Here is a 19,059-nt window from a genome sequence, read left to right as displayed (position 1 = left end):
CCTTGTTTATCCTACTTAGTTCATTTATTTTATAGTATTTCATTATATGCTAGGACCACAGGTGATCCTAAATTTACCTTTAATCAGTATTCCCTTCTCCAATTATTTGGAGGGTCTCCCTACTTTTTGAGATCCTGATCTGAATATTTTTGGTCTTAATGACTATTGTATTAGTCCATTTTTGAAGCGATGTTGTTTGTTGACTGGTGGATAGTAAGGTTGCTTTTACTGTTTTGGTATCACAAAAATTGCATGAACGTTTTTGAATATGCTTCTTTATTCATATGAGTTTCTGTTAGACAGCTACAAACAAATTGCTGAGCTAAAGGACAGGAGCAATGTCAACTTCTAGGACTTGCTCTACTAAGTGTTTGGGACAATTTACACTCATTGGCAGTGTATGATTCCCATTTCCCCACATCATCACCAATACCCTAGTGATTTTTTTTCCTCCAATGTCATCGGTGACTTGAAAATATTGTTTACTGGTAGTCAATTCATCTTCTCTGTGAATTTCCTGTTTATATTTTTGTCCAATTTTCTATATGTGTATTTGTCTTTTTCATATTGGTTTGGTAAGATTTATTTTTTTTATTGTATGTATTTGAGGTGTTCGTGATAGTCAGATATACATATACATTGTGGAATAATCAACACAATCAGGCTAATCAGCATATCCATCACCTCAAATAGTTACCTTTTTTTTGGTGGTGAGGACTCAGGATCTACACTCTTGCCAAATTTCAAGTATACAGTACAGTATTGGTAGCTATATACTCACTGAATTGGGTGATGCCTGCCCACATTGGTTAGAGTGATTGTTTTTACTCAGTCTATTGATGCAAATGCTAATGTGTTCTGGAAATACCCTCACAGACATGTCTAGAAATAATGTTTTGCCAGCTATCTGAGTATCCCTTTGTCTGGTCAAGTTGAACATAAAATTAACCATCACAAATGCCGTGGAAATTTTGACAGAGAAGGCACTGAATCTGTTGATCACTTTGAGCAATATGGACATTTTAACAATATTAATTATTTCAATCCATGAGCACTGGGGGGTATTTTTGCATTTATTTGTGTCCTCAATTTCTTTCATCAATGTTTTATAGTTTTCAATGTACAGCTCTTCCACCTTCTAGTTAAATTTATTTCTAAATATGTTATTCTTTTTGATGCTATTGTAAATGGGGATTATTTTCTTATTTTTTTTCCTGTTAGCTAGTTATTTAGAGTCTAGAAATGCTACCGATTTTGTATGTTGATTTTTTGCCTTACAACTTTTCTGGACTTACTGATTAGTTCTAAGAATTTTTTTGTTGGAGTCTTTAAGATTTTCTATATACAAAATCACCTCAACTGTGAACAGGGATAATTTTACTTCTTTCTTGCTGATTAGGATGACTTTTATCTTGCTTGCTTTCTCTAGGATTTCCAGTCATGTGTCTAGAAGTGGTGAGGGTAGATATCCTTTTCTTGTTCCTAATCCTAGAGGAAAGGCTTTCAACTTTTCACTATTGAGTATGACATTAGCTGTGGGCTTGATATATGTGGCCTTTATTATGTTGATGTACATTTCATCTATACGTAATTTATTGAGAGTTTTAATCATGAAAGAATGTTGAATTTTGTCAAATTTTTTTTTCCTGCATCTACTGAGATGATCATATGGTTTTTATCCTTCGTTCTGTTAATGTGATATATCACTTCATTGATTTGTGTATGTTGAACCATTCTTGCATCTCATAGTAAATCCCACTTGATTGTGGTGTATAATTCTTTTAATGTGCTGTTGAATTTGGTTTGCTAGTATTTTGTTGAGGAGTTTTGGATCTATGTTCATGAGGGATTTGGCCTGGAATTTTCCTTTCTTGTAGTGTTCTTGTCTGGCTTTGGTATAAGGGTAATACCAGCCCCATAAAATGAATTTGGAAATGTTTTCTCCTCTTCAATTTTTGGAAGAGTTTAAATATGATTGGCATTCATTTTTCTTTAAATGTTTGGTAGAATTCATCAGTGACGCCATCTGGGGTCAGACCTTTTCTTTTTCGGAAGGTTTTTGACTGATTCAATCTCTTTACTTATTAGTCTGTTCTGATTTTGTATTTGTTTATGTTTCAGTCTTGGTAGTTATATGGCTTTAAAATCTCTTCTTTCAGACAGTGTGTCTTTTAACTTTCCTTATGATGTCTTATGTTGTGCATAAGCTCTTTCATTTTTAAGGTAGTTTAATCTCATATTTTTCTTTATAGTTTGTACAATTTAATACTTGTTTACTAAATCCTTTTCTGTCCTCATTACAGAAATCGCCTATATTTTCTCCCAAAAGTTAAAAAATCTTGCATAGGTTTTTAGTTCATGTGGATTTTTCTTTATAATAATGTGGTGTCAGACAGGGACCTAATATTATCTTTTGCATGTAGCTATTCACTTATCCCTTTTTAGTTAACTAGTTCATCTTTTCTCTTTGCAATGTCACACCAAATTGACTTGGGTTCCCCTTGCACTCAGCGATCTGGGGTTTTGATGGCTAAACACTTGAGTCACATTTGAATTTGAAGTACATAGCACTTCCTCTGCCCTGGCTGTATGACTGTAACTAGATTCTTCTTTACTCCTTAGAGGTTAAGTTACATTTTGGGGCAGGCATGGTGGCTCACACCTGTAATCCCAACACTTTGGGAGGCCGAGGCAGGAGGATTGCTTTAGCCCAGGAGTTCAAGGCTAGCCTGGGCAATATGGGCAATATGGTGAGCACTCATCTCTATTTAAAAAAATAAATAAAAACAAGAAAATAATAGGTTAAGTTACATTTAGCTGAAATCTTCGCTGTCTTAACTTGGGTGAATCTTTTGCCCTTTTGATCTCTTTTCTACTTACAGGCCATTGAGTTTCTCCTCTTATGTCAGATTGGTGCACAATTCCATTCCCAAGCTTTGCCCCTTGTTTCTTAATATTTTTACTGATGGCTTGAGATGTTGAGTAGAGAGGTCATCCTTCCCATACTACAGCACTCTGCCTCCATGGGGCTTTCATTCTGTTATTTGCTGATGATGCACTTACATGCCACTCTAAGGCCTCTGATCTGGACTCGTGGCACACAGCTCTAGGACATTTACGTCAGTTCCCTGCTCTGCCCTTTTCCTCTCAGATGTCCCCCTTTAAATCTCACTATATATGTAAAATACCAAACTATGCTTTTTAGGAGTCATTAGTTTGCTCCTCTAGAAGTTGCTTTTCAACTCAAAACAATTGGCTTGCAAGCTTTTTAGACAGAACCATCTGAAGGGAATGGTCAATATTCAATGGCTGTGTTAGTTTTATATTGCTTCATAACAAAGTGCCACAAACTTAGTCGATAAAACAACATGTTTATTATGTCACACTCTCCATGGGTGAGAAATACGGGCATGGCACAGCTGGGTTTTCTGTTAGGGTCTCACAGGCAGATGTCAGAGTGTCAGCTAAGGCTGTATTCTCACCTGGAGTTTGAGGTACTCTTCCCAGCTCCTTTATGCTGTTGGCAGAATTCAATTATTTGCAATTGCAGAAGTGTAGTCCTTGTTTTCTCTCACTCTTTCTTTTCTTTCCTTTCTTTCTTTCTTTCTTTCTTTCTTTCTTTCTTTCTTTCTTTCTTTCTTTCTTTCTTCTTTCTTTCTTTCTTTCTTTCTTCTTTCTTCTTTCTTTCTTTCTTTCATTCTTTCTTTCCTTCTTTCTTTCCTTCTTTCTTTCTTTATCTCTCTCTCTCTCTTTCTTTTTGCCAGCTTTGGGGTGGAGATTGCTCTCAGCTCCTAGGCATTTCCATTGGGTTCTAGCTATGTGGCCCCTCCATTAGCAATTTGCAACATGGCTATTTGCTTTTCTTCCAGGCCAACAGCAGCACATCTCTCTGAAGCTTCATGTTCTTGCAGAGAGAACACCTGATTAGTTAGACCCACCGAGGATAAGCTTCGTTTTTATTAACTCCAGCTAACTTGTTAGTAACCTAATTTCAGGAATAATAACCCAAAATATTCACTAGTGCCACCCATTCTCAAGGGAAGGAGACGATACACTGCAGGAACACCAAGGGGCTACCACATGTGGGGGCCATCCTAAAATTCTGCCCAGCATAGTCGGCTTGTGTTCTAAACCACTTTCCCCCTATTTGAATACTTGAATACAGTGTGTGCTCTTCCTGGTGGAGTTTTTGAGGAAAGTCCAATAAATAGAACCCTTCCCTCCTGTGTGAATTTTAAAAAATGAAACTGAGAATGTAAACAAAGGAGCCAGCATTTGCAGGAAAAAAATTTATCTTTATTACTGATAAAGTTAACGGCAATGTAGCTTAGTGATGAAATAAAAGTGCTGTTACTTCCTCTGCACACCCAATTTAGCGTCTGGGGCTCAGTTCAGGGCAAGCTTTAATCTGTAAAAAAATCATTGCCTCACACTGATCTAGGGAGGAGGAGGAAGATGAAATGCCATGTGTATAGCTTTTGATAGATTAATTCCACCCAAGACCAATGGCATTGCTCACCTACAGGTAACCTAATATATTTCCAGGGAGACAGAAGTTTTGGTCCAGAAGCTTAAAGGGCTTAGGGAAAATTCCTCTTCATGGAAACCAGAGATGGAGAAGAGAAGTTCCTCTCAGATAGTTATTTATGCTTTGAATCTGTCTCTAAAGGTCAGACTTTCCTAAGTTGAATAGTTTTAAAATAAATACCTTTTCTCTTCCCACCAGAACATCAGAAGCACTTGCTACTTACTGCTGATCAAGCGATGAAATGAAGAAAGCTATTTGGAAGATGTTCATTTCACATAAGAATGAATAATCTAAAGATTTGATGCATCAATCCAGGACATACTAGGTATGGCCAGGATGTTTTGGGCTGTGCAGGTGCTTCCTGTATTCACATGTGGAGCCTGGGAGGCTGACGAGCTCACTCACAGAGCCTGAGGTAAAGGAATCTATCACTTCATTCTCTCTGTCTTCCCATCTCTGAGCAAGAAAGACAATTTATTTTATTTTCATAGAAACTCAGTTCCCTAGTGCAAAATGATTTTAGATTATCACTAAACTGCATTAAAATGACATTGGCAAAAAATTAATGTATTTTGCTTTATACTACACTGGTAGCCAGAGGAAAATTTGTTTTCTTTGGGCTGAGTGGGAGGAGGCAAAGCATGTATACAACTCTGGCCACTCATTTCACCTTCCTGTCTAACTCAAAGTTTCTTTATCTGAGAAATAGGAAAAATATTCAGACTAGTCCATGAGTTTATGAAATATATGGCTTTGTTAAAAGAGTTACACAAATACAGTTTGTTATCAATTATCACTGAGGTGATTTAAAGCTAAATTCTCAAATTCTTTTCCAAAATATTGATATTTGAAGTCTATCAATTCCATAAAACATTGATTGAGATCATTTTTCACTTCATTTGACCAGGTATGAAGAAGTTTTTCTTCTTGAGCTTTACAGGGGATTGAAAAGATTGTTTAGTTTCCATCTATACCACTACTGAGGCTTTTATATTTATGATTTTCTTTGTTTAGTTTTAGTAGTGCATGACATAGTTATCTGCCTTCCATATTCTTCTAAATTTAAGAGTTTCAAAAATTTCAATTCAAGACTGTGGCATAGGCTGGGCGCGATGTTTCATGCCTATAATCCCAGCACTTTGGGAGGCCAAGGTGGGCAGATCACTTGAGGTTAGGAGTTCAAGAGCAGCCTGGCCAACATGGTAAAACCTCGTCTCTACTAAAAATACAAAAATTAGCCAGGCATGGTGGCCTGCGCCGGTAGTCCCAGCTACTTGGGAGACTAAGGCAAGAGAATCACTTGAACCGGGGAGGCAGAGGTTGCAGAGAGCCAAGATCATGCCACTGCACTCCAGCCTGGGCGACAGAGCGATACTCCATCTCAAAAAAAAAAAAAAAAAAAAAAAATGCCGTGGCAGAAGGTAACTGAGAAATAAAGGTAACTTGGACTTGAGGGATCCCAGAGGACTCATGCCTTCTGGATAAGAAAGAAAATCTATTTGTAAAGCTTCTATTGATATTAATGTCAGTGTCCTCTTTGTAATTTAGGGTTAAGTATTTACAATTCCACTATTCTATCTCTCACATTTTGAAAATTTAATTCAAAGCCCTTAAAGGATGAGTTTGCTTGGATTACTGTCCTCCCTTTGGCATCATTTGGATTCTTGAATCATGAGTGGTGATTTCCAGAATGTGAACAGAGTTCAATAAGCTTTGATTAGACCAATGTTTCCTGCCGATTTCAGAAAATCAGGGCCATACCAGAAATGTTATTTGTAGAGTAAACACTCCGGGATGTTTACAGAAGAGCCTCAAGAAGAGAGAAGAACAAAATGGTATTTGGTGCCTCCAATTTCCTCCAACCTTTGAAATGCTGAAGGGGAGGAGAATCGCTTGAACCCGGGACGTGGAGGTTGCAGTGAGCCAAGATGGTGCCACTGCACTCTAGCCTGGGTGACAGAGGGAGACTCTGTCTCAAAAAAAAAAAAAAAAAAAAAAACAAAAGAAGAAAGAAAGAAAGAAAAAGAAAGAAAGAAAGAAAAGGCTGAAGGGGGAATATCAGCATGCAATTCATCAGGCTGGGCAGGGCCATGGGCCTAGATGCTCCACCTGGCTACCTGACTACAAAGTGGCTAGTAGAAAAAAAAAATCAATTGACAACTGTAATTAACTATTGTATATTTACTATAATACACACACAAACACTAGAAATTAAAAAACACATTAAATTGGTTGCTAAGCTAAATAAGTCATTTAAATCAAGCACTCGGATATCTATTTTGCAAGTCATTTTCAATGTAAACCTCCAAGTTTGTCTCAAATTGTTCAGCTTTCTTCATCTATAAGTGAGGACTTCATGGGTGTTTGCTAATTTTATTAGCAAAGTGTTTTCCTGAGCAAGAATTATTTTGGGCATTCATTCATTCAAAATAAGCATTTATTAAGTAACTTTTGTGTATAAGATATCTCATTAAAAGCTTTATGATGACTTCCATGTGAAGGTATATAGGGACTTTAAAAAAATGGTTCCTATAAGTTGGGTGTGGTGACTCATGCCTGTAGTCCCAGCACTTTGGCAGACTGAGGTGGGAGGATTGCTTGAGGCCAGGAGTTCAAGACCAGCCTGAACAATATAGTGAGACCCCACCTCTCAAAAAAAATTATCTGGGAGTGGTGGCACATGCCTGTGGTTCCAGCTACTTGGGAGGCTGAGGTTGGAGGATTACTTGAGCCTGGGAGGTCAAAGCTGTAGTGAGTTGCTGCACTCCAGCCTCGGTGACAGAGCAAGACCCTGTCTCAGAAAAACAAAACAAAACAAAGCAAAAATCTATTTCTGTAGCAGGCACATTGCTTCATTAACACCACATCCTGCAATTGTATAAAGAATTGTATTCTAATTTTCAGCTGCCAGGACAACCTTTAGATGGTGCCACAATATGTCACAATGAGCAACCTACTTCCTAAAGTAGAATATCTGGGATGAGAGATTAAATATTTAAAATATTTCAAGAATGAGAATTTCTGTTAGCAGAGATCATTGAGAACCACCCACCAAGGCTAGGCCATTCATTCATTCATTGACTAACTCAAAAAGTAAATATGGAGGCTGGCTATGGTACCAAGAACTGTTGGTTCTCAGGGATACAACTGTGACATAGGCATAGCCCATAACTTCAGGCAGTTTAATTGAATGGGTATTTATAAAGCCTTTATCTTGCAGTGATACCACAGTGGTGGGTGTAGGCCATTATAGAGGTTTCCAGGAGGAGTGCTGACTGTATTTTTTGGTCTCAGGGTAAGCTTCCCAGATAAGGAATATTTGAGTCAAGTCAATAGTAGTGTTATCCAGATGACAGGGAAGATGGGAAGAGTGTTGCTGCAAGAGGGAATAGCATGTGCAAAATTCCAAATTGAGAGTGTGACCCAAATTCTGACGCTGCAAGAAACTTAGTATGCTGGGAACACAGGGTTGGTAAGGTGGGTTCTGTCAGAGATGAGAAATGAAGCTGAAAGAAGGCAGGGTAGGGCGAAGGGTCCTTTTTGAGTCAGGCTAAGGGATTTGACTTTTTTTCTGCGGACACTGTGGAGCAACGTTCTGGGCACTGGTGCTGATCACCTCTTTTGTGCTCAGCACTGCCCAGGCACTGTGGGAAATCATAACAAAGTGAAAAATTTGTTCTGTGGCCTCTGAAGAACTTTAGGTTAGCTGGGATGATAGCAGGAACAAAACAATTAGTGAGAAGTTGGGAACCAACAATTCTTGGTACATAACCTCCATCTTTATTTTCTGAGTTAGTCAATGAATGAATGAATGACCAGCATTAACCAAATGCTTGGCCTGGGGGTTCTGATCACCAAGAGTTGTGTTGTGGCTGGAAGCCAAAGAGCAGGAGGTCAGTGAGGGCAAAAGAGGATATGGGACAGCTACATGTAGAGAGTTACACCCTAATTAATTTCCATGTGGATTCCTACTGTTTACTGCTCTTCAAGCCAATCTAAGCGTTAAGTATCCTCCACATTTTTCGAGTCTATATAAAACACCATAAACTGTCCCCTTCCAATGGTGACAGTTGCTTATACAAAACTACTTTCTCTAACTAGTCTAACTAGCAGGGACTACATGAAGTTATTAAACATCTGTTTGCTTTTCTAAAGTTCTCATTTCCTTTTCACAGAGGGCTGTACAGATCAGGCAGTTAAAGAAGAATTGAATGTGGGTTGAACTCTTATCTTAAGAATTGGGGTGAAGCACACAAGTTTTTAGGTGATCCCATGTTGTAAAAACAGCTGTTGAGATACTCATTACAACCATTTTTATCCTTTTTGTTTTTGAGATGGAGTCTTACTCTGTCGCCCTAGGCTGGAGTGCAGTGGCACGATCTCTGCTCACTGCAACCTCCGTCTTCTGGGTTCAAGCCATTCTCCTTCCTCAGCCTCCCGAGTAGCTGGGATTGCAGGCATGTGCCACCACTCCTGGTTAATTTTTGTATGTTTAGTAGAGATGGGGTTTCACCATGTTGGCCAGGCAGGTCTTGAACTCCTGACCTCAGGTAATCCACCTGCCTCAGCCTCCCAAAGTGCTAGGATTACAGGAGTGAGCCACCATGCCCGGCCCCTTTTTCTTGTTATTCACCACATTTCAATACTATTTTTTAAGCCTTTGATTCAACAGAAGCTATTTTCTGATCAAATTATCCTTCATTTCTCACTGCATGTACCTAATAAGATAGAATACAAGGAAAGTAATTAATCAAAGCCGTAGTGGGCATCTGGAATGCACCTGGCCATGACTGCAATGCTAAGGCAGCCCTCCCAGTAAGAGGGTCATCCCTTATGGAGGGCACGTGCTCTTGCGTCCTTAAATTATTCTGTGCTATTCAGTAAAAACCACCAAATTGCTTTCTTTGCAATTACTCTGAAAAAAAAATTGTTCCATTAGAGGACATTCCCATAAAGCTCTTATTCAACTGCATAATTTCTTTTTAATCTATTATTTTTGAGGAGGACCTGAGGCATGAATAAGTTTTGTTTAAAACTCTAGTGATTCGCATCTTACCTTCACTGGGTGCCCAGGTTTCCTATCATTGGTGTATTTACCCATTGTTTCACTTATGGTTTTTTTTTTGTTTGTTTGTTTGTTTCATGTACAGTTTTTTTTTTCTTTTTTTTGGCATTTCCTTAAGAAATGTCAATATCTAGTTAGGCCAGATTCATGACAATGTTTCTTTCAATTATGTTATAGTAAATGGTCTGAAATTACTAGATTCAAGGAACATAATTCAAATGATATCTTGAGTTCAAAAAGAGACCATCCCAGGAAAGGCTATTATAGTGAAGCTATTTATTACTCATCTTTTCAACATTACAAGTTAAATAATTATATATTAGAAAAAAATCCCAGTTAGTAAAAACTGCTTAATATTCCTAATTCTAAATTAGGGGTAAGTATGAATATATTAGAAGTGTAGACTCACCCCTTTTCCTTCACAGTTCTTGGTAGTAATTTATTCTCACAAAGAACTGAAAGCCTCACAGGAGCCCTTATAATGGCCCATCAAGTTGCTTTTTACTGTGAAAGGCAGGGTCCCTGGCTATATTAAAAAAGGTCCCTTCCCTGATTTTCGCCCCAAATTGAAGACAACCAGACAAATGGAGCAGGGGCAGCCTGATTTCCTCACATGTTTATAGGCAGTGAAGTTGGAAGCTAGGAGGGAGGGAGGGAAAATGAGAGAGAGAAAGAAACAGAAAGAGAGAGAGAGAGAGAAAGAGAGATTGAGAAGGAATATCAGGCTGTCTCTGGAAGGCAGATGGAAAGGCACAGAACCTGTCCCTTTGTCCTGGATTCTTTCTAAACAACCTGATGAGTCATTCTTCCTCCCACACATGGGAAGCAGTGAGTAATCACTAAACATAGATGATGGAAGTGTCCACTACAACATGACACCTGCAGGGAGAAGAGAGAAAGCTCCACCACCTTTAAAATGAGAGGTCTAGCCCTTCATGGCCCATGTAAAGAGAATAAAGAGCAAATTTCACCTCTCCAGATGCTGCAGATTTTCTTCTTGCAGGCTTGGCAAAGCAAAGGCAACAATCTGAACTCCTTCTCACTTAGGAGATGTTTTGCTCTTAATTGAAAGGATGGTTACTACAAACAAATACCATGTGTATTACCAAGGTAGTTTTGTCCAACTCAATTTTAAATTTTATTTGAATGAAACATAATTCTTTATTCTCTAATGGGATTAATCTTTTATGCTACATCAGTATATTGTGGAGGGAGTTTGTTGAATGGGATGATCCTAGAATTCCCCAATTTTATTGGTCTCCTCTGGCCCTGACTTGAGGAGGGCTTGCAGATGAAAATTCCAGAGTGGAAGAACTGCTAATCATTCAAGGAAACATTGCTAAGTCCTAGACAAAGACCGTGGTAGTATGAGATGGCGAGAAAAGTGACAATTTTTAATTTGGTTGAACTAAAATGTAGGTTTGGATTCAATGATAGGTAGAGAGAAAGCTGCCTGAAAACAGGATTTTGGGGCTTTTGCAAAGTCCCTGTTCCCTAAATACCATCTCTACCTGTTTACTGATATTCTGCTAGTAATGAATAGAGCAAAAACATTTCACTTTGTTGTGTGCTCACTTCATGTCAGGCACTATTCTTTTTTTTTTTTTTTTTTTTTTTTTTTGAGACAGAGTCTCGCTGTTTCCCAGGCTGGAGTGCAGTGGTGCGATCTCGGCTCACTGCAAACTCCGCCTCCCGGGTTCACGCCATTCTCCTGCCTCAGCCTCCCGAGTAGCTGGGACTACAGGCGCCCACCACCACGCCTGGCTACTTTTTTTGTATTTTTAGTAGAGACGGGGTTTCACCATGTTAGCCAGGATGATCTCGATATCCTGACCTCGTGATCTGTCTTCCTCAGCCTCCCAAAGTGCTGGGATTACAGGTGTGAGCCACCGTGCCCAGCCTGTCAGGCACTATTCTAACAGTATAAACACACCACACACACACTGCTAGATATATTCAATCATCATTACAGTTTTTGATATAGCTATTGTTATTTCTACTTTATGGATGAGGCAACCGAGGCACAAAGAGGACAAGTCACTTATCTGTGGTCACATAGTTAGTAAAGAGCAGAAACAAAATTTGAACCCACAAGACTGGCTCATTGTCTAGGCCCTTATGACACTGATGTACTTTAAGTGGAAATTTCCCCAAGGCAGAGAGCTCATTGCCTGAGATTCATGTTGAGGGGTAAATGACTAATACAAGATTCTTCTCAAAGAGGAGACAGGAATGCAGGTGAGGTAGAGCTCTGGGACATTTGTAGTTCAGTTTCTGGTATTTTCTGATTTTTCCTTATGATTCTTTCTTTGAGCCATACATTATCTATACACGTGTTTTTAAGTTTCTAAGTATGTATAATTTTTTTAAAAGAAAGTTATCATTGAAAAACTAGATTTCAAACTTTATGGCCTGGTGGTGAAAATACAGTTGTTAGACATTTATTGGGACTTGTTCTGTGACCTAATCAATTTTATTCTCTGATTATTCCATGCAGAGTTTCATGTATATCTGTTAGATCAAGCTTGTCAATTGTGTTTATATAAATTGGTTGTTATAGATAACAATATACATATTAATGTCGATAATTTTGGAAGATATGCTAAATAGTTTTTCTTTGGTTTGTTAGCCAGTGGAATCTTGGAATTCATTTCTTCTCCCTTCATGCAGAAAGATATGATATTCTAATACTCTGTCAGAATCTTTACCCTAAAACAGTATGTATGGTTTATTTTTGTTGCATCAGTGTGGAAACATTTTCATTTACCCTGGTTAAGACCTGTTGTACTCTGAATCTGATAATTCATCTTTTGTTTTCAATTCTGTATAATTTTCAGGTATTCTATGGAAACTCCAAATTGAATGTGACAAATCTTCCTGGGTATGCATTTTGAGTGAAGGTTTGGGAAAAGAAAGCTTTAAAAACTGTTAAACACAGATATAAATGAAAAAAAAACTATGACAAAAGAAAATAAGTTCAAAGAATTTCAGAATTTCTTGAATTTTTCATTTTGCTGTGAGATCTCTCTTCTGGGGCTTGTGTTGCTTCTCTGCCATTAGGCTTGTCCTTTGTCCTGTAATGTCTTCGCATTGCCACTGGATTGGCTTTCACGGAGAAAATCAGTGTCTCTGGTCCTGAAGTTGTTGTTACTTTTCTTGATGACTAAGCGCTGACTGATTTACAGAAACCCAGTGGAGGATACTGTCTCTTGAAACTTTGAAATCCCTGGCCTATCTCTCATCAATGTTTCCTTGTTTTCTGGGAGCCTTTTGGCCATGCATCACTGATATTTTATGTCATGTCATTTCAATTAATGGAACAACTGACATTCCTCCTTTGGCAACGTGGGACCAATTTTAAATCAGGCAGTCCACGTGAGCAGTCTAGGTGCACAGTCTACAGTGACAGGTTCCCTGGGGATGGGGTTCTCTGGTGGCTGTTGTATAACACTTAGCAAATAAATAATAATGGGGGAAATTAACTTGGGAGCTGCTAGGCCACGCTATTGTTTACAATGTTTGCACAAGGGGTTGTGTGGGCGGCAATGTGGTGAAGTGGAAAGAGGCTGAAGCAAGTAGATCAGATTTTAAATCCAGGTTCCTTCCTTAATTGATGTATATTCTCAGGGAAATTGATTATGTTAAACTATTCAAAATTTACTTTCCTCATCTGTAAAATAGAGATATTATAGGTATCATATAAGGTTTAAGTGAAGAATAAATGATAACATATATAACAGAGCACCTGAATTATATTAGGTTTTTAATTAATTTAGTGCTTCCAAATTAAGTTTTTAATTAGTTGGCTCCTCCAGACCTATGCTGTAAGGTAGCTGCATTTCTTTGAGGTCGGTTATTCACCTTTCTAGACTGATGGACATACCTGTCAAATTTTGAGATGGAATTGGAAAATCTACAAGGTCTCTTTTGGCCTTAGTGCCATTTTATCAAAATTGCAGCATTTGAAATAATCAAATATAAATGAGTATTCAGAATTAAAGTTGTACTAAAAACACAAGGCTACATATATTTAGTTATTTTAAAAGTTTCAAATACAGCATGCAATAAGCTTTTAAAAATTAAAACCATTCAAAAGTAAGATCAAAAAAGGAAGTTCCCCATAACGCATAACATTAAACTTATAACAATACACTCTTCTCTCCATAAAAAAGCCACTCATACCAATTTGAGTATATTGTTAAAGACTTTCTTTCTATACAAACACATTTACATGGTTTTTAAAAACACAGATCAGATATTTTACACATATTGTTCTGAAAAATGCTTTTTGTTTTCCACTCCTTCCGTTTTTACCCTTTCCATATGCCATTCTTAGCATATGGCTTTCACCTTCCAGATCATCTCATAATTCAAGATAGCTACAGGAGCTAGCCATTGTATCACTAATACAGACAAGAGTGATGAAGAAATTGATGGGGAGAATGTAATTTAATCAGCCAGTCGCTCTTAATTAGCTTTTCCAGAAACCCATCGACTTCCGTTTGCACAACATTACCTACCCATCTCTCAAGAAAACCTTCATCTGGGCACATTGCTACTTTAAGTGAATTGGAATTCAGTCAGGAGGGAAAAGAAAGAAATGCATGTTGATTACCTTCTAACAAAAATCATGATTGGCGATTAATATCAGACTATTATAGCTGCCTCATTGTTTTCCATGACTGAGTAGTATTTCACAGAATACATCTGCCATACACTGTATAATGCTTAGACTATTATAAATAATTAGATTACAACAATTTTTTATATTGCAGATAATATTAACTATTGACTTCCGTATACAAATATCTGTTTGCATGTATCTTGGACAGTTTTATAGATTTGCTGGAATTTCTAATTTAAAAGACATGTATGTTGTAATTTTGTCATATGACACCAAGTTACAGTTGCAAAGTTTAATTTGTACTCTCTGTCAAGCCTACAAGTCCCAATTTACCTATATATATGCCTGCACTGGTTATTATCAGCATTTTCTATTTTTGCCAGTCTGATGGACAAAACTTGGCATCCATTGTTGTTTTAACTTGTGAGATTACTTGATTACTTTGTAGGTTAGGTATCTTTTCACATGCTAATTGGACTTGGTATTTTGTCCAATGATGCTTTAATAAAGCAAAGTCTGTGCATATTTAATATGTACAATCTGATGAGTTTGAAAATATGCAGACACCCATGATATCATTGTCACAATCAAGGTAATAGGCATATCCAACACCTCTCAAGGTTTCCTTGTGTCTCTTTGTTTTTGCTTTCATTTTTGATTTTCGGTAAGAACACAACATGAGATCTACCCTCTTGATAACTTTTAAAGTGCACAATACCATGTTATTAACTACAGGAACTATATTGTACAACAGCTCTCTAGAATTTATTCATCTAGTGTAGCTGACACTTTATACTCATTAAACAACAGCTTCCCATTTCCCACCCCCTCCAGCCTCTGGCAACAATTCTCTGCTTCTATGAGTTTGACTATTGTAGATACCTCATATAGGTGGAACCATGCAGTATTCACCCTGCTGTGAGTGGCTTATTTCACTTAGCGTGATGTCCTCTAGCTTTATCCATGTTTTCACAAGTGGCAGAATTTTCTTCTTTTTATAAACTAAACAAGAATGGGCACAGGGGCTCACACCTGTAATTCCAGCACTTTGGGAGGCCGAGGCGGGCAGTTCACTTGAACCCAGGAGTTAGAGACCAGCTTGGGCAAGATGGTAAAACCCCGTCTCTACCAAAAATGCAAAAAATTAGCTAGGGGTGGTAGCAGGCACCTGTAGTCTCAGCTACTCGGAAAGCTGAAGTGGGAGGATAGCTTGAGCCAGGGAAGCTGAGGCTGCAGTGAGCCATCATTGTGCCACTACACCCTAGCCTGGACCACAGAGCAAGAACCTGTCTCAAAAAAACCAAACCAAAACTAAACTGAACAATAGTCCATTGTGTGTTTATATCACATTTTAAAAATTCATTCATCTGGCTGGGTGCGGTGGCTCATGCCTGTAATTCCAGCACTTTGGGAGCCAAGGCAGGAGGATCACTTGAGGTCAAGAGTTCAAGACCAGCCTGGCCAACAATGGAGCAAAACCTTGTCTCAACTAAAAATACAAAAATTATTTGGGCATGGTGGCGTGCCTGTAGTCCCAGCTACTTGGGAGGCTGAGGTACTAGAATCACTTAAACCTGGGAGGTGGAAATTGCAGTGAGTCGAGATCAGGCCACTGCACTCCAGCCTGGGTTATAGAGCAAGACCCTGCCTCAAAAAAGAAAGAAAGAAAGAAAGAAATTCATTTATCTATTGATGTATACTTGGGTTGTTTCCCTGTGTGAACTGTGAACTGTTTTATTTTTATTTTTTTGAGATGGAGTTCTGCTCTGTCACCCAGGCTGGAGTGCAGTGGCATGATCTCGGTTCACTGCAACCTCTGCCTCCGGGGTTCAAGCCGATTCTCCTGCCTTAGCCACCCGAGTGGCTGGGACTACAGGTGCATGTCACCACACCCAGCTAATTTTTGTATTTTTAGTAGAGACGGGGTTTCACCACATTGGCCAGGCTGGTCTTGAACTTCTGACCTCAGGTGATCCACCTACCTTGGCCTCCCGAAGTGCTGGGATTACAGGTATGAGTCACTGTGCCCGGTTTGAACTGTTTTAAATAATGCTGCAATGAATATGGGCATGAAGACATCTCTTCAACATACTGATTTCATTTCCTTTGGATATATATGCAAAAGTGGGATGGCTGAATCCTAAGGTACTTCTTACTATTTCTTACATTTTTTTCCTCTTTAGATTATCTTAGGTCTTGTAGGTAGAGGATCATATCTAAGATAATTAGTTTTTGATTTCATTGTTCCCAAAATGAATTTATACCTTTATATTTTTCCATATTTTTTTCTTTGGCCAGGACTGCCCAGAGCAAAGGTGACAATGGCCATCTTTATCACCTTACTGATTTTTATGAACGTGCTTCAAATGTTTTACCTAGGTAAAGTGTTTGCTCTCAACTTCCATTAGGTGACATTTATAAAATAAATTTATTTTTATTTCTTACTTACTGATACCTTTGAAAGATAGAAACAGGTGTTGAATTTTATCAAATACTAAGTAACATGTCTTAAGATCTGTTAAAACAATTATTTGGGTGTCTCCTTTATCTTATTAAGGAATGTAATTTAATTGATTGTCTATAGTTTAATAAATTGGTTATAATTTAATTCATTGTTTATAGTTTTCTTCTTTATGTTTTCTTTTTTCTGTCTGGTTTTGGTACCAGGGTTATAGTTAGTTTCACTGAATGAGTTGGAAAGTATTCTATCAATTATTTTGTGTTCTGGAACAGGACATAGAAATTTGTATAACATAAGTATATTATCTATTCAGATTTGGATATGCCTATGGAATCTAAGTGTGATTCCATGCCTATGGAATCTAATCTGCCTATGGAATCTAAGTGTGATGTCTTTATTTTTTTTTTTGAGAAGGAACCTCACTCTGTCACCCAGGCTGGAGTGCAATGGTGTGATCTCAGCTCACTGCAACCTCCGCCTCCCGGGTTCAAGTGATTCTCCTGCCTCAGCTTCCTGAGTAGCTGGGACTACAGGCGCGTGCCACCACACCCAGCTAATTTTTATATTTTTAGTAGAGATGAGTTTTCACCATGTTGGCGAGGATGGTCTCGATCTCTTGACCTCATCATCTGCCCACCTCAGCTTCCCAAAGTGCTGGGATTACAGGCGTGAGCCACCGTGCCCTGTCTAAGTGTGATGTCTTTAAAAAATTTTAGTAGTCATTTGATCAAATTGTTACTTTTGCCAGTGTCTATTCATCTTTCCATGTCTTCTACTGCTTATTGAGTGAAATACACATATTTTTAAACTTTCTGAAAAATGCATCCATTTCATGTATATTTTCAAGATTTTTGGCATACATCTGTACAGAGCATTCTCTTATAGTTTGAGAAATCTCTCTCATGTCTACAGTTACAGTCCTGAGACCTTTTGTTATTCTGGGATTCTGATGAAAAAACTCCCTTGTTGGTCTGCATGGAGTTTCTTCAAATGTCAACCACCCCATGAGGATGGGAACTGTTTTCCACAAGAATGCAAATGCATTAAGAGCAGGAACTTCTGCCTGCCTAACACAGAGTGTGCACTCATTAATATTTGTTGATGAGTAAAAGTTGTAGATCAATATCGATTGTTTCATCTTTGACAACTTTTCTGCATTTTTAGAGCTGTAGTGACTGTATTTTTATATTTCTTCTGGAATTGTAATGGGACTTGGGACAGAGAATACTTATTTAGTTAGCAACTTTGAGCTGGCGGTCTGTGAACATCACTCCGTCGTGTGTGCGGTGGAGCACCATGAGCTCCTTCAGGTGGCATTAATGCCTAGGGATAATGACACACTCTTCCCTCAAGCAGTATTTGCCTTTTCTTTTTCGTTTATTCTTTCCCCTCCCCACAGTTCTTAGATAGTCACATACAAAAAAGGTAACTCCATTGAAAGGTTTAACACTCATTATTACTTAATTCTTTATAGCCCCTAATTGTCTCAGCTTTTCTTGATGATCTTATTCTCACTCCTTTGCAGTAGGACTCTCCTCACTTTCAGTGTTGTCCAATAAGTTTCCTCTGCCCCCAACTTCTCACATCATTCTTCATCCATGTCTTCAAATGTCATGCCCCTTTACAGTGTGATCAGATCTGGATTCCAAACTGAAAAGTGCACGTTACTGATTGGTCAGAACTTCCCGAAGCATTATTCTGTTATTTTTATTGATTTTTATTTTTTTTAACTCCTGGGTCAGAAACAACATAGCTTTATTCTAATCATTAAAGAAAAAACCCCAAATTCCCAAATTAGGGAATGAGGACACCAAAAGGTTGCATTATTTGAAAAGACACAACTAACCAAGCCAGTAAGTAAACACACAGACCAAAACCAAATACACAGAAATATAAATGGGTAATGAATTTGGGTATAGTGTATACAGGTATTTATACATTCTTGCAAATTTTCTGTTCATTTGAAATTACATCTCAGTAAAAAGTTAAAAAACAAGCAAACAAAAATCGTGTAAGCGCATGCATACAGAGAATCTTGAGTATATCAGTTATTCTGGAAGAGCTTTTCTTCCTCACCACTCATCCGCATCTTCCTGGAATGTGTTACCAGCTGTTGTTATGTGGTAAGATAGAGGTTGGTCCCAGGCTTCCCAGGTGCAACCACCAGGGAAGCGATCAGGAGACACAGAAAGCTTTCTTGAGAATAACAAGGTTAATACTCCCTGGTAAAAACACTTCCCTTTTTATCTGACCTCAGAAGCATTTCCCTTCAGTAAAAGGAGGTTCTGTGATGAAATGAGAATCATCTGAAATAACAGAATGCATTATATTTTCCCACATATTGTTATTTTTGTGTTATAGATTCCCTGGGTATCACAATA

General features: G+C 38.1%; 1 annotated feature.

The window, feature by feature from the left end:
• Positions 10,215-10,509: an enhancer, noted in NCBI's record as "tiled region #14563; HepG2 Activating DNase unmatched - State 8:EnhW, and K562 Activating DNase unmatched - State 9:DNaseU". NCBI's record gives its function as "activates a minimal TATA promoter and a strong SV40 promoter by Sharpr-MPRA in HepG2 cells, with weaker activity in K562 cells {active_cell/tissue: HepG2 | K562}" and the evidence as "EXISTENCE:reporter gene assay evidence [ECO:0000049][PMID:27701403]".

The sequence above is a fragment of the Homo sapiens genome, chromosome 2 (genome assembly GCF_000001405.40).
Source record: "Homo sapiens chromosome 2, GRCh38.p14 Primary Assembly".
Lineage (NCBI taxonomy): Eukaryota > Metazoa > Chordata > Mammalia > Primates > Hominidae > Homo > Homo sapiens.
Note: the sequence above shows the minus strand (reverse complement) of the source record. Positions and strands in the feature narration are given on the sequence as shown.